General features: G+C 36.2%; 1 annotated feature.

Annotated features, from left to right (window-relative positions):
* Positions 9,674–9,843: an enhancer, noted in NCBI's record as "experimental_85485 CRE fragment used in MPRA reporter constructs". NCBI's record gives its function as "activates a minimal promoter by MPRAs in K562 erythroleukemia cells, with activity observed for the non-introgressed 5:43872011 variant allele {active_cell/tissue: K562}" and the evidence as "EXISTENCE:reporter gene assay evidence [ECO:0000049][PMID:34662402]".

Raw genomic sequence — 20,061 nt, forward strand, 5'->3', positions numbered from 1 at the left:
GAACAGCACAAAATCAGTGGTTCATTACTTTGAATATTAGCTGTAAGTCAACAAATAACTGTGATGAAGAAAAATGCTCTTTTTCACAATAATGGCATCACAAAGGTCTTTGGATCATATACTGTCTAATATCAAAAAATGAAAGTTATATAAAATAGTAAAAATTTGAAAGCATGGTCTAACCACAGCTTGGGATCCTAGTCATTAAAAATTATAATATTGGAGGATTCCATGAACATGAGAAATTGTTTACAATATAGTGCCAAGTAAAAAGGCTATAAGATAATGTGTGCAATAAGGTATGCCTTCATATACATATGAAAATATATATTCATATTTGCACATAAAAATGTTGAGTGCTTATGCTTGAGATGTGATGTATTTCTTCAGGTTACTGTGGTAACTCCATTAATTTTGCTGAGTTTAATTTGCTGAATTGCCAGCTGTGAGGTGGCAGGATGGGGTGGGGGCTATTCCACATAGTCATTCAAAGATTCAGGCTGATGTAGACTCTACAGTCATTAGCTTGGGATTTTCAGTGTTTGCTGGGCATTGTCAATCAACTGCAGACGGGAAAGGAGGGAGAGAAGATCTTTGGAGGGTTTTATGGGCCAGGCTAAAAGTGGAGCAAATCACTTCTGTTGCATTAGCCAGAACTCAGTGGCATGGCCACAAGTAATTGTAAGAAGGATAGAAAGTATGGTCTGTTTTTATGCTCAGGAGAAAAATAAAATGGATTTTGGTGAGCACATAATAGTCTCTGCCTCAGGTGAGATCCTGAGTAATATGTTTAGTCATTCTCAGGCTTTGCTCTGTTTATAAGTGGTTGTTGGATTTCTGTTTCTCTGCTTAAGTGACAGAGCAACATATATCATCACTCGATTTTGTATCAGTTCTCATTACTATTGCTACCACCAGAAAGTGAGGCTGACATCAGGGTTCTATATGAGGGACCTACCTCAGACACTACCTGGGATTGGCTTTTTAATATGACATTGGTCCACTCATACTCTGCTGTATCAACCATTATTTCATTGTACATAGGAATCTTTACAACTTGCCATCAATCTCTTGAACATCATAAACCATGAGCCATAATAACATGTGACCACAAGAATATGATGGCCAACTGCAGGCACATAAGTTTTCTCTACTTAGTGCATAGTAGGTGTTAGAGTAATATCGATTGATTGATTGATTGATTGATAGTCTTCCTGAATTTTTCTGAGTGCTTTTCTTTCCCTAGTTTATAAGCTGGGATCCCCTAAAGGCAGAGACATTACTTTTGTTCTGTAAATCTCTGTTGGTATATACTTGGCTGATTGACTTTTTAGACTCCTTCTGCTGTATGATGGGCTTCTGTTGCTCAGACCAACAACAAGCTTATGTGGATAAGGCCAAATGGAATGATCTCTGGGTTTAGAGGTAGAAGACCCAGGTTCTAGTTAAGCCTGGGAAATAATCAGCTTTCTGACAGATCCATGGACACAGTGGTGTTTTCTAAACTTTTTTGGATGATTTAGGCAAGTAATATTTCCTCTCTGTCTTCTATTTCTTAATCTGTAAAATGAGGCTAATAATACTAAAACACCTACTGTTTCTCTGATATAACTGTGAAAATCAAATTGCTCCTAGTTTTCACTTATGAACATAAAGGATGTATGTAACATATCTAGACTTTAGAAATATGAACTTCCATAGTATTCAATTAAATCCTGCTGGATAGTCTCTCTAGACACATTCTTTAGGCTTGTCCATTTGGCTCTGTCATCCAGAAGGCTGATCTCTGTGAATTATTTATTGGCTAGGCTCCCTTGACCTATGGGTTAGCTCAAAAGCACCAACAAGAGATTAGATGGCTAGAGGAAAGAGAATTGGGGTATTTATTCCACAGCTGTATCTTTGCAGGATTGCAGGGTGTCAGTTGCTGTGTTCCTTTACCAAAAGCCAAAATTCCTATTTGGAGGGCTCTCCTACAGTTACAGCTTTCACCAAGTTTCTAGAATTGTTCTTTCCCCTGACCTTGCAAGCCTAAGGGTGGTAGTGGTCTTAAGGTTGCTAACCCTTGGGTGTTTTTCAATCATCCCTTATGGTTGTCTTAAACCCTGCTTACATATTTGTAAGTGGCCGCTTCATTAATTTCAGATCAATCACCCCTTTTGTGTGTGCTATCTGTATCCTACTGAGATTCTGACCCATGAAGAGATTTCTTCAGAGCTGGAAGGAAAGTTCATATTCCCTTATGTGCATTATACAGTAGCAACATGTGCTGAGTCTACATACAGGAAATGGAAAAAAATTCCTGACATTTAGGGTCTTAAAATTTCATAGATGTCATAAACTTTGAATAAACAACGAAAAAGCATATAAATACTGAGACATTTCAGATGCAAATTATTTATAAGTTGTGCAAATATTGTGTATGCCCAATAATAAAAGACATCACACACCGGGACCTGTTATGGGGTTGGGGGAGGGGGGAGGGATAACATTAGGAGAAACACCTAACGTAAATGACAAGTTAATGGGTGCGGTACACCAACATGGCACATATATACATATGTAACAAACCTGCACATTGTGCACATGTACCCTAGAACTTAAAGTATAAAATAAACAAATAAATAAAAGACATTAACATTATGCATGCAACTGTGTATATTCAGGCCAGCTCCTAAACAGAAATCTCTCCAATTTTTTCCTGCTTGGGAACTTTTGGTCAGCTCCTCAAATAAGTTGCAATTTTCCTCTCAAGACTTCACCTTTGGTGCCCTTTCTTCAAAATGTTTCTCTGACATAATATAGTGGTTCAATGTATAATTAGGTTGACCCTACATCCCAGTTTGACTGAGAATTTCAACTTAGTTAAATACCAGTTTAATTATTAGGAGTACCCCCTACACTCTTAGAAGTTTCCCAGTTTAGAAGATAAATTGTGTACAATGGTCTTTTACTAAGACCATTGAGAGATCTTGGAGTATAAGCTTGTATAACCTGGGAAGTTTCAAATACATGGTCTCATTTGGCTATGCTGCTTCTTGATGATCTGTGGTATTTGGTTTGTTTCCGTGGTTGGTTACCAAAGCATGGTAGACATAATTTATTGGTCACTTAATTTTTCTCTTTTTTTGCCCCAGTTTTAACAATTCCAGGTTGAAATAGCTTTTTCTGCAGGCTTATATAAGTCCTGCATTCTTTCGTAAAGCAGCAAAGTTCTTTGCTTTCTTAACTACAAGCTGTTCTCTCATAGTTTGAATTAGAGTACATTTTTCTTCTTCGTGTAGAAGTTGCTCTGAATCATTTTTTTCTTTGCTTTCTGTGTCGCATCCTGTTCTCCAGGTTTAAATGTATCAGGATGCTTCTGGGTTTCTCTGTGCAGCATGTAGCATTTGTTTCTTACTTTCCAAATTCCTCATGTTTTTGAACTCTATTTCTCTAAAAAGCCTAAATTTTACTTTATGATTGTACTCCCTCCTTAAAGTCATAAGTACAATTATCCCACATTTTGCTCAATATAAACATTCATAAATTTAAAGCTAACTTTGTATTATAATTGGGTCAAACCTGGGAGATGGTAGAATTTTGATCCCTTTTAGGATTCTGAGGAGAGGAGTTTTCCCCAAGATACCTCATTGAAGGTTTCTGAAATATGAAGTCATAGGTAGAATTTTATCTTTTACAGTCACTACCACCTAGTCAGAGATAGAAAGCTTATTCTAAGATAGAATGCATGGATGTTAAATAATCTGGCAACTGCATGGAGTTTTCCCTCTAGCAAATAGCAAGTAGTCATGAAACAATATCATCGATAAAATGTTTTATCTTTTCAAAGATATTGATGAAGCATGAAAATATCTACTGCCATCATTTACCTCAGCTTTTATGTATTTTTAAAATAGTTTGATTAGTTAAAAGGCTTATTTTGTCATTTATTTATCCATTTACTCATATAGTCAAGAAGTATTTATTGAGCACTTAGAGTATGTCAGGCACTGTAGTGGATAGTGAGGATACAACGGTGAATGAGAAATATACAATCATTGCTCTCAGGGAGCTTATAGGGTCATGGAACACAAATAGATGCCAAAAGAATAGTGTGATGAGGAAAGTACAGATGTAAAAGATGCATCTTTCTGAGAGCTAGGGATCAGACAAAGCTTCTTGAAAAAAGTCCAGTCCAAGCAGTGCCTGAGAAGTGTGAGTTATCTCGGACAGAAGTGGAGAGGCCTGGGAGAAGGAAAAGGGCAGAAAGTGTTACAGGGAGGGAGGATAGTATATGTAAAGGTTCTCTGGTCAGGGTGGTCAGGGAGAACAGGGCACATTAAGGAAATAAATAGTTTGGCTGGAATATAGAGGGTAACAGGTGGAGAGAGGTGAGAATGAGGCAGAAGATAAGTAGGGGCTATAGGATGTAAGTCAAGATAAGGAGATGGGACCTAGTGGTGAGGGTAATACAGACCTATGAGTAATTTGTCATTCAGATATTCTAGGATCTGGCCAAACGTACTTTTCTGGGATAGAGTCTTACCATTTATCAATATGTGCTCCAGGGTTCAGTTGAAGTAGACCAGGAGTTGTTGCTCTTTGAAAGGGCTTTCCCATCCATGTCTGTAGACTGTCTTCTCCATTCAACTCTCATTGATTTTCATGGTCAGGAAAGACCTTCTTTCTGTTTTGAACTCCCACAATTTTGTGTACTTCTTTTATGAGCCTTACTCCATAGCTTTTATGTTTATGACATAGCTTCCTGCTAGATAGCATCTTGAGGGCAAGGGTTTGTCTTATTTATCCATTTTACCTCTGATAGTGAATATCTAAGAATTAATATAATTTTATTTGGTTCATACTCACCTCCATTGAATTTGTTACAGTTTGGAAGCGTCAACCTCACACAATCAAGACACCGGACTTTTTAGATCTTCTTCCTTTTCTCTAGCCTAAGTATAGTTGCAATATTCTTATTCTTGGTAGACAGGGAGTTAAAATGATCATCAGGCCTCTGTGACCTCAGTGGAGAAAAAGATAGACCAGTAGCAACTGGGCCTTTAGGGAGCAGTGACAGTAGGTTACTCTTTTTCTATGGCAGTGACTGGCCACATCACCACCTTGAATTGGAGCAGGGGGAGGAAAAAAGAACTGATGCAAAGTATAGATAAGCAAACTGGTAGAGAGCCCACTGAGCAAAGTCTTTGGACTCCCAGATCTATTTGGGAAGAATTGGAAGGAGACTTGAGTTTTCGTGAAACAGGTGAGGTTAAGCTGAAGAAATATTTTTATAAGGCTGCATTTGTGTTCCAGGTTTTACCCCTGGCATGGTGTGCATGGTAAATATAAATCACCTACATTATATTTTATTTGTTTCCCAAAATGCACTATAAATGTCCTCCAGGAGAGAGATCCTAACCCTATAAGACTTTTGAGCTGCATGGTTAGGGAAGCACAGGTCCCTCCTGGAGTGGGATTAGGAGCTGGGGTGCTATAGCAATATGACATTGCAGAACCTGTCACCAGGTCTAAAATGCCAGCTCACCTTAACAGCTGTGGTAGGTGGCACCAGCCTTTTTTCCAAGGGTAATTGGTTCTGGGGTTCAAACTGCAGTTGCAACTGTGAGAAGTGGCAAACTCTCAGCTAGATTAACCTCATCAGCATTAACGAGAGCACCAGGACTTTTCCAACCTGATAGGGAGCTAGGGTCCAAATCTTGCCATTAATTGTTTTAATTGTTTTCAGCACTTGGCCTAGCTATTTTCCATGGAGCTTTTCAGGAGGCCAATCTCATCTGAAAGGTCAGCCTACAGGAGTCAGATCTTAGACAAGTCATCCCCTATCTCTCTTGCTTTCTAAGCACATGAAGTTAAAAATGTTGAAAATGCTTTATTGCCTTTTTATCTAGGATTTAAATATTTCATTCTGCTTGTACAATGCTTAGCTCTGTAACAGTCACAACTGAGTTCTTAGTTTTCTTTTAACTTAAAAACTTGTATTTTTTCTTACTACAAATGTAATAGTGCTCAATAGAAAAACTGAAAAATTCGGATAAGATTAAAGAAGAAATTAAAACAGAAGTAGTATTCTTCAACAGCATTTTTCCCTCTTTCTCTCTCTCTCTCTAGAAAAAAAATACAAATATACACACAAATGTATAAATGTGTATATATACATTTGTGTGTCTATTATAGACTGTAGGCTTCATATAAAATGATATCAGATGTTTGAATATTGATGGTTACACATAGGAATTTCATTCACATGGATGTGAATAGATATGACAACCTTGGATAATATTAGGAGTTATTTATGGTTAGATTATTTAATTAGATTACTTATGGAATTAGGTGAGAAGCTTTTGCAACCCAAAATAAAGAAGGCCCACATAAATAGTAGAACAGTTTTGGTGACAATCAGTTAAATATTAAAAGAATTATAAAGCACTGAGATAATTCTATCAAATAATAATCTTACTAATTAAGAAATTGTGTCTAATGATACAGAAAGCCCATACTATCTGAAAAGCAATCATATGACAAGGGTTACCATGAGATAATGACTTGCATCATGCCAAATAGGTTCAATAATGTAGTGGACATCTTTTTCTATGTTGGCTAAGGCTCTTAGGTATGTCAGCATAACTGAAAAGAACCTCAAACTGGAGTTTTGCTGTTCTGTTTGGGGAGAAAACACTTTGTTGGGCAGAACTCCTGAGAGTTAGCTTATTAAGCCTTATTAATAAGCATATAATTAATTATTTATAATAATTGTTTACTGTTAATTAATAGTTAATAATTATTAAGCATATTATTAATTAATGCCTAAGGAGTTACGATTCTTTTCTTTAAGGAAAGGAGTTTGGGCACAATTTGTGTTGGATAAAAGCATGTTGTTTGAGAAAGCATAATTAAAATGAATTTCAATTTGTCTTTCTTATAATTGAAGGTTTTTAAGAAAAATGTAAGTCACAGGAAAAACACTGACTTCCAACTATGTAAAAAGAAAATCACATGAATGAATGAAAGGAGTAATTTGTTGGGGGAAGATGAGGCAATTCTTTGACAATGCAGAGAAATCATCAAAATGCTGTTCTTGAATGGCAAAATTTCTTGGTGGCTGCCCAGCTTATATGGCATATCATTGATATTTAAGATTATTGTTATTGACAGTGCATGGGTTCTGGACAAAAGCACTGCCTTGAGAACTGAAATTTAAATTAAACCACTTCCTAACACTGAAGAAATGATGGCTTTTAAGAGTGCCAAAATGACTCAAGATGAGCTGCCTACAAAGAACTTGAAAAAAGCAATTTCAAAGTTGCCTTCAAGATAAAATTTTGCAAAGGATGAGTAAGATATTTTAGATAAAAAGTTCATTTTCTTGAGTAATTTGACATCTGGTATGTGAAGAGCTTATTTATATAGAATGCGATATGTAGAATTAAGGTAGTGTTCCATATAAGAACATTTTAATATGTCAGTGCTTTTAACTTTAGACATTTTTATTATGCATCACATACCTAACTAGTGATTTCAAGTACAAAAACATTGGAAAATGATTTAATTCTTTTTGATTAAATCTTTTGGATTTGGAGCCACAGTGTGAATTAGCAGCTATTACTCTAGCATAGAAACAATGCTCTAGAAAACTACTGAAGTAGATATTTTTATTTTTTAATTCTTTCCTAGAAAAATGAGAACTTACAGACCGTATCTTTCTTGTCTTTATTATCAATATGATTTATCACTGTTGCTGTGGTATAATACTACCACTAAGGTACAGTTTCTAGGAATCAAACAACATTTTTTTTCCTAAGAGATTCTGAGAGCAATATTGCCTCTCTAGGAGAGTAAAATGTATATATTTTTGGTATGTTTTGCTGTTTGAGGCCTTCCAACTTTATGTATGTGTTCTGGTTAACTAAAGAGTTACAAGCAAAAATAAGTTACACAAAAATAAGTGAGTCTTTTATTATTTACCTTTTCCAGGAAAAGCTTCTCTATAATTACTTTGAAAATCTTAAAAAGGTCCAGTGCCAACCAGCTGTTAAGATTTTTGGCCATTGTTAGATAAATCCACAGAAAAATGAGAATATTGTTTGAACCTAATTTAATATTTAAATCTATTTGCAGTTTATTGACATTGACAAGTAGAAAGATTATTTGGAATTTTTCTGAATTGATGATATAAGCAAACACAACATAACTAAGTGCTCTTAAATTTTAACTTGTTTGTATTGTACTCTGTAAAATGCTGTACACTATTTTCATTGTGTAATGCTAGATTTCACTGGCACTCACTTTATCTGTGGTATCTGAATAACACTAGCTGTGACATATCATGGTCGAATTTATTATTTTTTCTTTTACATGTGGTGAAAATTTGATTACATGGGTTTGAATCCAAATTTTTTGTTTCTTATTCCTCATCAAACAAGTATTTGTATTTTAATTTTTTGCTTAGCAAGAATCTAGCCTGATTAATTTACTCTGGGTTCTTGTGTAATATGTGAGGCCTAGATAATGAAGTTTGCTGACTTTGTCACAGGTCTGCTTATTCTAGTGCATCTTTCCTGCTGACATTTGTCAAATCTCTGCCATTAGGTCGTTCTTTAAGTATCATTATCAGCTCATGTTGGTGACTCCACATTACAAATATTGTGCCTATGAGTGTTAACAACTCATATTTCTGAATGGTGCAAGTTTTGTTAGTGAGCATGGTCCTGAGGAAATGGATGGGAGAAGAACTATGTTTTGATCGGGATTTGAGATAGGACAGTTTGGACATAAGTGGCTGCCCCAAAGGCTGTTGAATGTGGCACATTTGCATGAGCACATAACCCATTTGTGTTTTTTTGTGACCCCCATCTTCTTTCTTCCCTGTCTCCTCTCAGAGGTAGCTGTTATCCTGAAATTTGTGTTTCTCATTTCCTTAAGGGTTACAGCTTACCATGTTTAGTTTTGCATGCTTTTGGATTTTGTGGAAATGGAGTCATAATTTGGTAACTTACTTTTATAACTGAACATTATGTTGGGTTCCTGAGATTCATTCACGATAATGTGTATAACTGTGGTTTATTCATTTTTAATGCTATTATTGTATTAATTGAATATGCAACAATTTATCTATGAACATATTTAGATTTATCTATAAGTATGCATACTTATAGATATAACCCTTGATATTTTAGGCTTTAAGATTTTTGGTAGTCTGATGGGTATCTCACGGTGGTTTAAATGTTCAGTTTTTCAATTATAGTTAAAATTGTGATTTGTTTCATGTTTATTGTCAAGTTGTGGTTTTCTTTGTGTCCTTCATAAACAACAACTTTTGCCTCATTTCAAAAGGAATAGTTTTATAACAGAAGTTTGCTTTGGAAAATTGCTCATTCTTTTATAATCTTATGCTTTTCACAAAGAAGTTTCTTAAAGAAGCTTGATGAATTTTTAACTCGAAAATACTGCCAGCATGGTAAGTTTTGTTAGAATTTTTTTTTTTTTTGGTGATCTTTAAGTTCAATTTAGGTTAATTCTCAAGTAAGTATGTTGATTAAAATGAAAAATTTTAAGTTGAAATTGCTTTTATGAGTTTCTTAAGATGTGTTTTGATGCATTTACTTTGTGAGATACGTTTGATGTAAGAAGTGGTTTTCACGGGATCAGTAACTGCAATTCTGGCACCCTTTTTCTTCTCTGTAGTGTGAATAGAAAAGTAGCTGCTGTTTCAATGTGATGTAAATATGTCACTGGGGATTGTTTATTGTTTTTCTATTTCTTTAATATGTCATATTAAAGAGACATCATTATGTGGACAGCTGAGTGATGTCCTCAGTATTTCTATATGGTTGTCTCAATTTGTACTAAGACTTACCCCACCACTCCTTGTTGCTTGTGTCATTTTTGCTTGTTAGAATGAGTGGTCCTCTTATAAGAAACTCTAGCTGAGTATGCTTTAATTTGGCAGGTAAGAGCTCATTAGCTCTAGAACAAAAATTATTTGGTTTTAAGTCTCCCCAAATCACCAAATCAAAGCCATTTAGGCAGATTATTCTTGGCCTTTGGTCATGCTTCCTTAGTTCTGAATTGCTAGAAATCCCTTGTGTATGCTCCATCTCTTGAAGAAGGGCAGTGAAAAAGAGAAATCTTTTTCTCCTAGATGATCTTTCTTGTATAAAAATGACTTTCAAATTTGCCTATGTTTGGCAGCCAATTTCTTTCTATATATTTAAAAAAAAACTCCGAAAATATCTACATCCTCCAATTTTCATCTTTATTTTGTTATAATCTGTCCCATCATCTTAGAGCAGTCTTCTAAATTTCTAGTAGAAATTACTATTTACTATTTCTAGTAGTAAAATCTTTTCAGCCTTTATTCTATAAAATACCAACACTTCAATATAAATTCCTTATATGGAATCAGGGCACATATGTTGTAAATAAACTCAGAATTGCTATTCTTATTTGAAATATAGAAGGCGATTACATGAAGGAATCACATCTTGTATATTGTTTAGATGATCTAAACCACAGCATCTCATATGTAGTTTCATAAAAGTTGTGGGTACATTAGATCGCGTTGATGTCCTGCTTTCAAACTGCAGACATGAGAAGTAGATGCTTAAATAAGAAAACATTTACTGTAATTATAGAAATAGAGGATGAGAAAACCCCGGGTGGCTGCTGTGCTCCTCACCTGGCCCCTCCTGGGAAATACAGAAAAAGAAAAATGAGGGATCAGGAGAGAGCCTGGACACAGCCCTAGGCTAGGATTTACGAGAAGTAAACAGCTTCTGACCTGAACTTGAAATTCTAGCATCTGTCTCTCACAGAGAGGCAAACACGTTCGAGTTCTATAACATTTCTTTACAGTTCTCTTTAATAGGCAGGCCTCTCTCATTTCAGTATCTTGACACAAGCTCAATTCTCAGTTACTCTTTATGTCTTAGTTCAAATATTACTTCCTCATTGAGATATTCCCTGATTACTGAAGAAAGGCTTGGGTATCCCTTTTCTAGCTCCCTGGGCATGTTTCATATACATCTAATGATCAAAGGCACTCTTTCCATAGTCTTTTGCAGAACTCTACTTGAGTTTCTTCTCAAAACAAAGCAACAAACTCCCAAACCTGTTTTGTGATCAATAATTAGAAAAAACTCTACACTCTAGACTTCTATTACATATTTCTTATGCACATTTGAGTATTAAAGGCCCTGAGAAGTAATTAAGGAAAGAAATTTGTTTTTATTCAATGTTTCCAGAATTAATTGACCATGAAACATGTCTTTTGAGAAATATCTGCCTACAGATTCCTCTGAAACAAGGGTAGGAAATGTCTTATTGTGTTGTGATTTGTTTTCTTTGTACTGCCTCTCTGCTAGACCATAATTATTTCTATCATCAGTGCTGGGTCCAGTGACTGGCACATAGTAGGCCCTTAATGAAATTATTTGCTAAATAGAAACATGGGAGAGAAGATGGTAATGATTCCTATGTTTGAAGCTAGGGTAGCTAGCATGGTAATTTGTTGTTGCATAACAAACCACCCTAAAATTTAGTAGCATGAAACAACTTTTGTTTTAAATGCTCCTGTTGTTGTGAGTTTGGAATTCATAAAACGCACACTGGGGACAACTCCCCTCTGCTTCATGACTTCTAAGGTTTTTCCTGTGAGGATGCAAATGACAGGGGTACCCAGAATGGGTGGAGGCTGGGAGGGTTGGGCTGGAAGAACTACTTCCAAGATGGTCTCATAACTCACAGGAGAGGCTGGACCACCTACCTATGGCCTCTCCAGCATGGCAAACTTAACATTGTTGGACATTTTGCCTCAGGGCTCCAAAAACACGTGTTCCCAAAGACCAAGGAAGAAACTGCAGAATTTTTTTTTAATTACTAAGTCTGAGAAATCTCAGGTATGTCAAAAAATCTGTAGCAAAGGTTCAAACTGCCACAGAACTTCTGAGGATAGGGATGCCACTAATTGACATAAGGGATTCAGGAGAAAAGAGACTTTGCTGAGTAGCAGAGAGTGTGTAAGTGTGAGACACACATGAGCAACCAAGTGGAGAGACCAGGGGCAGTTGGGAGAATGTATCTGGAGCTTGGGAGAGACATGGGAGTTGAAAATGAGGGCTGGGTTTATACCATGTGGGTTGACACTGCAAGCATAAATGAAATTCTCTAGGGAGACTTTGCAGAGAAGGAGAGGAAAAAAGGCTCGGATACATGGGTAATGCCAACATTTATGGGGAAACTGAAGGAAATGGAGCAGGGAAGGGAGCTTAGAAACTGCAGCCACAGATCGGGGAGCAGTAGGACAGAGCGGTTCTGAGCAACCCAGGCAAGAGTTTCAAGAGCGCGCTGGTCACCAGCGTCACATGCCTCAGAGAAGTCAAGAGACCTGAGAAGTGTCCATTGGATTGATCCGGCAATTATGGAATCTTTTATTAATAGTAAGGATATTTTGGTGAGGAGGGATGGGTGGGGACCAGAGGCGGCAGAGGTGGGTGGAGATAGGGTGGGATGGGGGAGTTGTAGGAATGGGGTTTGTGGCTGGAAGATGCAGGGTGGGGCTGAGGGAGGAAGCAGATTGAGTGAAGATGGGCTCCACTTTCACAGTTGGGCTCCATTCTGGTGGTGAGAGTGCCGTTTCTCTCCCTGAAAAACCCTTTCCTTGTGATTTCGCTGGAGAGTCACATGGCACCTCATTCACAGTTGTTCAAAATGTGTAAAAGTCATTGAATGGAAAAAAGCTTTTAGGAGCACAAGGCAGCCAGGACTGATCACATAATGGCCCAAACATGTGACACATCTGTAGATAACACTGAAGCCACAGCCAGTAACAGCTCTGGAATCTGCCAGGGAGTAGCCGCTGTGAAGAGCAAATACATTTCCTCTGTTTGGCATCTGCTGGCTGCTGAGAAGGGCAGTTAGCAAAGTCAGTTTTCCTGAAGGGTTAAGAGTCATGAAGGCTCTGTTATTACAGAGATATGTTCACATATGGGGAGTGAATAAGAACTGTTGGCACAGGGAAATGTTATGTCACCTTACACATCCTACTAGTCCTCCAGACATTTCTCTTTCAGGAAAAGGCAAATGCAATCCTACAAAAGAAACAATTTTTTTTCAATATTTTCAATTTTGTGGGAATTTAATGTGACTGTTGGAAAAAATGTGTTACAGTTGATAAACTGTAATTAAACAAATGAATATACATAAAAGAATTAGAATAGTGCTTGTTCTAAGAACAAAGACCACATGAATGTAAAGCATTATTATTAACATCATATTATTATTATGTTCTAGCTTTAAATACAGGATTACAGTTCAATTTGAAGGAATTTTTTCTTTTTTTGTTTTCTGCATTTCATGATAGATAAATTTCATATTTTGGGCTTTTTCAAGAAATATTTTAAAGATGGGAGTAAAATTAGTTTACCATGAAGTAAGAGCCATTACCCGAAAACAGAGTAACAACAATCCATGTGTACTCAAAATAAATACTAAATTTGACAACTAAGTGGGTGTATCTAACCTAAGTGGATGTCTTTTGTGGCTGGTGGGCTTTGATTTCAGTGACTTGTTTTTTGACTCTGAATATCCAGCTTGAGAAGGCATCCCTTTAGGAAGAGTGGTGTGCTCAAATGATAAAATGTATGGGTGTAAAGTGATCTGACTTGAAGGCCTACTGAAAATTAGGAGCCCCATTGTACAGCTCTGGTCTCTTTTGCTCTCTTGGAGAGAGAGAATGCTAGCAAGTTCAGGTCAGAAGCTGTTTACTTACTAGCAGATCCTAGCCTGGGGCTGTGTCCAGGCTCTGTCCTGATTTCTCATTTTTCTTTTTCCTGTGTTTCCCAAGAGGAGCCAGGTGAAGAGCATGACAGCCGCCTAGGGAGGTCTAAGGTGGGATCTAAGGGGATTATCTTAGTCCTTTATTCTTATTCTGACAATAAAATCTTGTCTTACCAAAATCTTCTTCCCATGCCTTTACTTTGAAAGTAGGATTCCAATTTGATTCAGAGCTCACAAAAATTTGATATAAATCCACATCAAGCTGTGGATTACAAGCTAGGGTAAAAGTAGAAGATGTGATTTTTGACTTCAAGAAGTTCACAATATATTTCAGATAAGAATGAAGACCACAGCCATATATATAATATATTTGTAGATGAAATATATGTTCACTTGGAAACATAAAGTGTTTATTTTGAAATATAAGTTGTTTTATCTGAAAAATAGTAGGAGATTTATATAAGCTTGGAAGGATGTTTTAGGAAGGTGGGATAGACTATGGTGGAATAAATGTAGATGTGGAGTAATTATATGTGGAGTAACTATATGTAGAATAATTAATTAGAGACAAAGGCTTGTTTTAAAAAATTGTTCCATTAGAAATAGGCTTTCAAAGTATTTTGGACAGAAGTAATTTTGGGCAAACTAAAAAGGAGCATAGGTACAATTAGTCAATCTCATGAATGCAATCACTGTTTTTTCTTTTACTTTAAAAAAAAATTTTTTTAGCACTTTTCTAAGTTGAGGACCAAGTTGAAATGGTCACCTGTTGTGGTAAGAAGGGATGTTTTGGCCTGACAGATATATGGACTTGCAATTCTAGAGAACATAAGTAGGGTGGTCTCTGATCTTTAAGTATAGAGGATTTAATTTAATCACAGGGACAAGCAATGTGTTTTGCACATGGCAGGTGTTCAGTAAGTGCTTGTTGTTCATAATGTAACTCACTTCTGAATTTGTAAGGGTTTCATTGATCCTAAATTCCTAAAATGCCTTTTTGTTCTCTTGGTTTTTGTGCTTTCTGACATTGAACTGAGTCTTAGATCTTCTTCGGGCTGTGCATGCATGTTTGAAAACCTCCTAGGAGCTGTAATGCTATGCTTATATTGGGAAAATGTCATAGATATGGGTATTTCCTTCTGCTGCCTAGAAAAATAAAGCCTGCAGTAAGATTTTCTGTCTTTACGTATGAATTCAGGTGATATGTCTCTGAATATTGGTCTTCAGTAATTTTCAAGACTAAGGTCTCTTACCTTCCATAATGATATGGAAGTCAGCTGTTTCTAAAACTCAGTTTTGTGAGACTTAGAACAGAACTAGTTTCTAAGGAATTCTTATGTCTCTGAAACCCATGTCCCTGTTGGTCTAGCAATTAGATTTGGGGGTCTTTAAGTAATGAGGCAAGACCTATTGGTGGTTAGTAAGCATTAGTAGTAAACTCAACTGTTGAAGTGAAATTTTGGCAAGATCAAATGGAGTACCAGATTATTTCTAAATTAATTTTTGATTATCCAGACCAATGGAAATGCACCAAGAGACCAAGGAATATTACAGGGGAAAAAGAAACTCACTCACTCATTCTATCAATCGATCATCTATATACATATATGTATATATTCCACACACATACTCTTAGAATTTGAGTGACTCCAGAAAGAAAATAATGTACCATATTGGGCTTCACATCTACAATATTTATATCCATATTAGCCATCATTAATAGTAGCAATATTTTACAGGGGGCAGGAAATTGGTGATCAATGAGATAATTTTTACCATCATGGTGGACCATGTACAAGATGGTGATACAAGATACTATACTCAGTTAATGGTCCAAAGAAAAGTAAGTTCAATGTAGTAGTCACTAGCCTTGTGTGGCTACTGAGCACTAAAATGTGGCTAGTGAAATTGAGGAACTAAATTTTAAATTTTATTTGATTATAATTATTTTAAATAAAAAACCTGGCAGTTGGTTTAGTTATTGGAAAATTTTTATGCATGTTTGAAACAACTTGGTCATATCAATTTATTTTTTAACTGTAAGTTTTATGAAATCCAAATATAGAGCAAATATTTCCTATGAAAATTTAGTATCTGAATTGAGGTGTGCTATATGTGTAAAACATGCCCTGGATTTTGGAAACAGTACAAAAATATAAATTATCTTATTAATAATCCTTTTACATTTGATATGATAATATTTATCATCTCAATTTACATATCTTATTCACTAGGAAATGACGGAGCAACTGAAGATTTTTGAAAAAGGATATTTTATGGGGGCTAATTTTGTTTTATTTGAATGGAGATTATTGAACAGCCAACCAGTTAGGATAATATGATATTCATGGTGTAATGAGGGCCTGATTTCAACTGAGTGGTGTTACTGGAAACAGATCTAATGATAATAATGAGAATAATGATGGCTAATACTTATTAAATGATTATTTTGTGCCAAGAATTATGCTAAATATTTTGTATGAGTTATATAACCCTCATAATTCATCTTTGAGGTAGCTGCTATTGTCCCCATTTTACAGCTGAGGAAAGTGAAGAACATAAGTTAAACAACTTGACCAAGATCATACAACTGGTAAGAGGTGATGCTAGAATTTGGCTGAACTAATGATATTGCCGGTAATGATTACTGATAAATAAACATTGTTTTCAACTTAATGTCACTAGCTGCATTAACCCCTAACAGAAAGGTCAGCCTGTTCTTTGAAACTCTGAAGCCAGGCATTAACTTCTCTCTAGCTATGAAAGTCCTAGACGACATCTTTTTCCAATAGAAAGCTATTTTGTCTACACTGAAAATTTGTTGTTTGATGTAACCACCTTCATCAGTTATTCTAGTTAGGTTTTCTAGAGAACTTGCTGCAGCTTCTCCATCTGCACTTGTTGCTTCATCTCCACTTTTACATAATGGAGACAGCTTCTTTCCTTAAACCCCATGAACAAACCTCTGCTAACTTGCAACTTATCTTCTGCAGCTTCCTCACTTCTCTCAGCCTTCATACAATTGAAAACAGTCTTCCTTTGGATTAGGCTTTGGCTTAAGGGAATGTTGTGGCTGGTTTGATTTTCCCAGGCTGCTCAAACTTTCTTTGTATCAGCAATAAGGCCGTTTTGCATTCTCATCATTTGTGTGTTTACTGGAGTAGTGCCTTTAATGTCCTTCAAGAACTTTTCCTTTGCATTCACAGCTTGATTGTTTGGCTTAAAAGACCTAGCTTTTGGTCTGTCTTGATTTTGACAAGGCTTCCTCAGTAAGCTTAATCATTTTTAGCATTTCTAGCTTTTGATTTAAAGTGAGATATGTGCAACTCTTCCTTTCACTTGAACATGTAAAGGCCATTGTAGGACAATTAATAATTGTCCTAAATTCAATATTTTTGTATCTCAGGGAATAGAGATCCCTGAGGAGAGGGAGAGAGAGAGACAGGGGAATGGCTGGTTGGTGGAGCAGTCAGAACAAGCACAACATCCATGGATTAAGTTTGCTATCTTCTACGGTCACAGTTTGTGGAGCCCCTAAAAGATTACAATAATCACATCAGAGATCACTGATTACAGATCACTGCAATAAAAATAATAATGGAAAAGCTGGAAATATTGTGAGAATTGCCAAAATGTGACACACTGGCACATTGATACAGAGACACGAAGTGAGCACATGCTATTGGAAAAATAGGCCGATAGACTTGCTCGATGCAGGGTTGCCACAAACCCTTAATTTATTTAAAAAATACAGTATCAGCAAAGGTTAATATAACAAGGCATACCTTCATTTGACAATACTACCAAGATGACTTGTAAAACTTTAGGGTGATTCCTTTTTTTCTCTGTATGTGTATGTTAAAAACAGAGGTATCTTTTAGTGACAAGAACAAAGCCTTCAGTTTCCAGGCTTGCCATGGGCCAAGCTTCAGATTCTCTGACTTTTGTTATCTCTAAAATGGGAAACTATTTATATATTCCATGCCTACCACTAAATTGTTTTGAGAATTGAATAAGTTAATATACATGATTGTGTGATTTTAGTTTGAAAAATGATACAATTAAATATAAATATAAATTGATGATATTATTAAGTACATGAAGTTCTAAAATATGATAAGGTAATTCACTGGATATTCAAGCAACATTATTCAAAGGAAGATCAAAATAAACAATTCAGATTTAGAAAAAGGACCTTAAAAACTTAAGTGATATTGTCCACAGTCACATAATGTTCTAACAGAACAGAATTTTGGCATTTTGGGGTTCCCAGTGGTTCCTTTAGTCAATAGAGTCTTGATGCCTCAAACATCAGATAATATAAAACCTGCACCTACTACCATGTTTAAAAAGACATATACCATATAGAGTGATTTCCTGTTTCACTTTGTGTGTATACATGCACGTGCATTTATGTGCATATACATGTGTGTCTGAATTCTTTTATGAATGAAATTAAACATGGAATTAAGAAGCTCATATTAGGGATTTATCATTAATCAGAAACTTCCTACGAAAAGGTCTATGCAGATGCAGTCCAACTTTGACAGCTGTTTTGTGTACAAATCAGTATGAGGTAATTTAATTTTTATATCATAACACAGAAGAACTGTAGATCATGGATGGCCTCCTATATTATAAAAAATTACATTTTGTAAAATTATGTTATTGAATGTGTTTCATTATATTTTACTGAAAACTTATAATCTATATATATTATTGCTATGATTTTGTTTACAACCAATATTACATTTTTATTTAAAAGTAATTTAAAATTTATTCTTTTTAGAAATATTCTTTCATTTGAACAAACTGTTTTCTGTGTTGGCTGAGCATTTTGTAATATCAAACTTTCCCTACATGAACAATATCAATTGTATGAGAAACAGTGTAGTTTAGATGAGTCTCAGTGTAAAAATTAAAGAAAAAAAAAGAAAAAGAAGCTAAGGATGAAGGCCTGAGGAGTGGTAGGGGACACTCTGATGTGCTGTGTAGAAGCCCCCTTTTGGGACCAAACACTCATCCCATCAGGGATCTGCTGAGTACCTGTCTGGAAATTGTCCTCTGCCAATATGTGCCACTTTATTCAAAGTTACACACCTTGCCGTGGGGCAGCCCACGTTCAATGGCTGATCAACACAGGATGAAAAAGCTCAGCCTCCTTTTCTCACTTTGGGACCACTCCGAAGAGATGATTTCATCTTCAAATCTTCCTGAGGCATTGGCTACAGCCTTTCATCAGCTGCATCACAGATCAATGTTTCTTTCTGCCCAATCTTGTTTCCCTCATTCCTTTGCAGGTATTGTCCTTGAGGTGCTTCTCAATAAGCCTCCTGCACAGGAATCCCTCTATCACAGTCTATTTCCCCAAGTTACTCAATCTAAGAGACAGAAGAATACGTTTTTAAAACTCAATCCTGTCAAGTAAATGGAAACTTCTGAACTGAGGAGAAAGATACTCATAGAGGTTTTGGAAACCTGCTTAATCATCATTATGGTTTTGATCAGTGTCCTCACCCAAATCTCACGCTGAATTGTAATCCCCAATGTTGGAGGTGGGGCATGGTGGGAGGTGATCGGATCATAGGGTTGGATTTCCTCCGTGGCACTGTATCACAATAGTGAGTGAGTTCTTGTGAAATGTGGTTATTTAGAAGTGTGTGGCACATTCCCTCTTTTTCCTGCTCCAACCATGTGAGACCACTTGCTCCTCCTTGCTTTCTGCCATGATTGTTAATTCCTGGAGGCACCACCAGAAGCTGATGCCACTATGCTTCCTGTACATCCTGCAGAACCATGAGCCAATTAAACCTCTTTTCTTTGTAAATTACCCAGTCTCAGGTATTTCTGTATAGCAATGCAAGAAGAGACTAATACAATCATGCTGATAGTGGATATCCTTTTCTCTTTTTGGAATACCAGAAGATGGAGGCTGTTATTTTGCAAGGGTGGTTAGGGAAGTTTTTTTCTGATAAAGTGAGAGTTGAGTAGAGACCTGACAAAAAGGAAGGAGCAAGGGTTATAGCTTTCTGGAAAGAAGAGTGTTCCAGAGAAAGAGAATATCAAGTACAAAGACCACTAGGTCTTTGGTTGCATACTCCAGCAATGGCAGAGACTCATTCCAGTGTGTGGCTGGGGCAGAATAAGCAAAGAGGAGAACTGTATAGGAGATACAGTCCATAAGGCAAGTATGTTAGACCATGTAACACCCTATGCCATTATATGACTGGATTTTACTTTGAGATGGGAAGACATTGGAGGAATTTGAATAGAGAATTAACT

Source organism: Homo sapiens, chromosome 5 (assembly GCF_000001405.40).
Source record: "Homo sapiens chromosome 5, GRCh38.p14 Primary Assembly".
NCBI classification, from domain to species: Eukaryota; Metazoa; Chordata; class Mammalia; order Primates; family Hominidae; genus Homo; species Homo sapiens.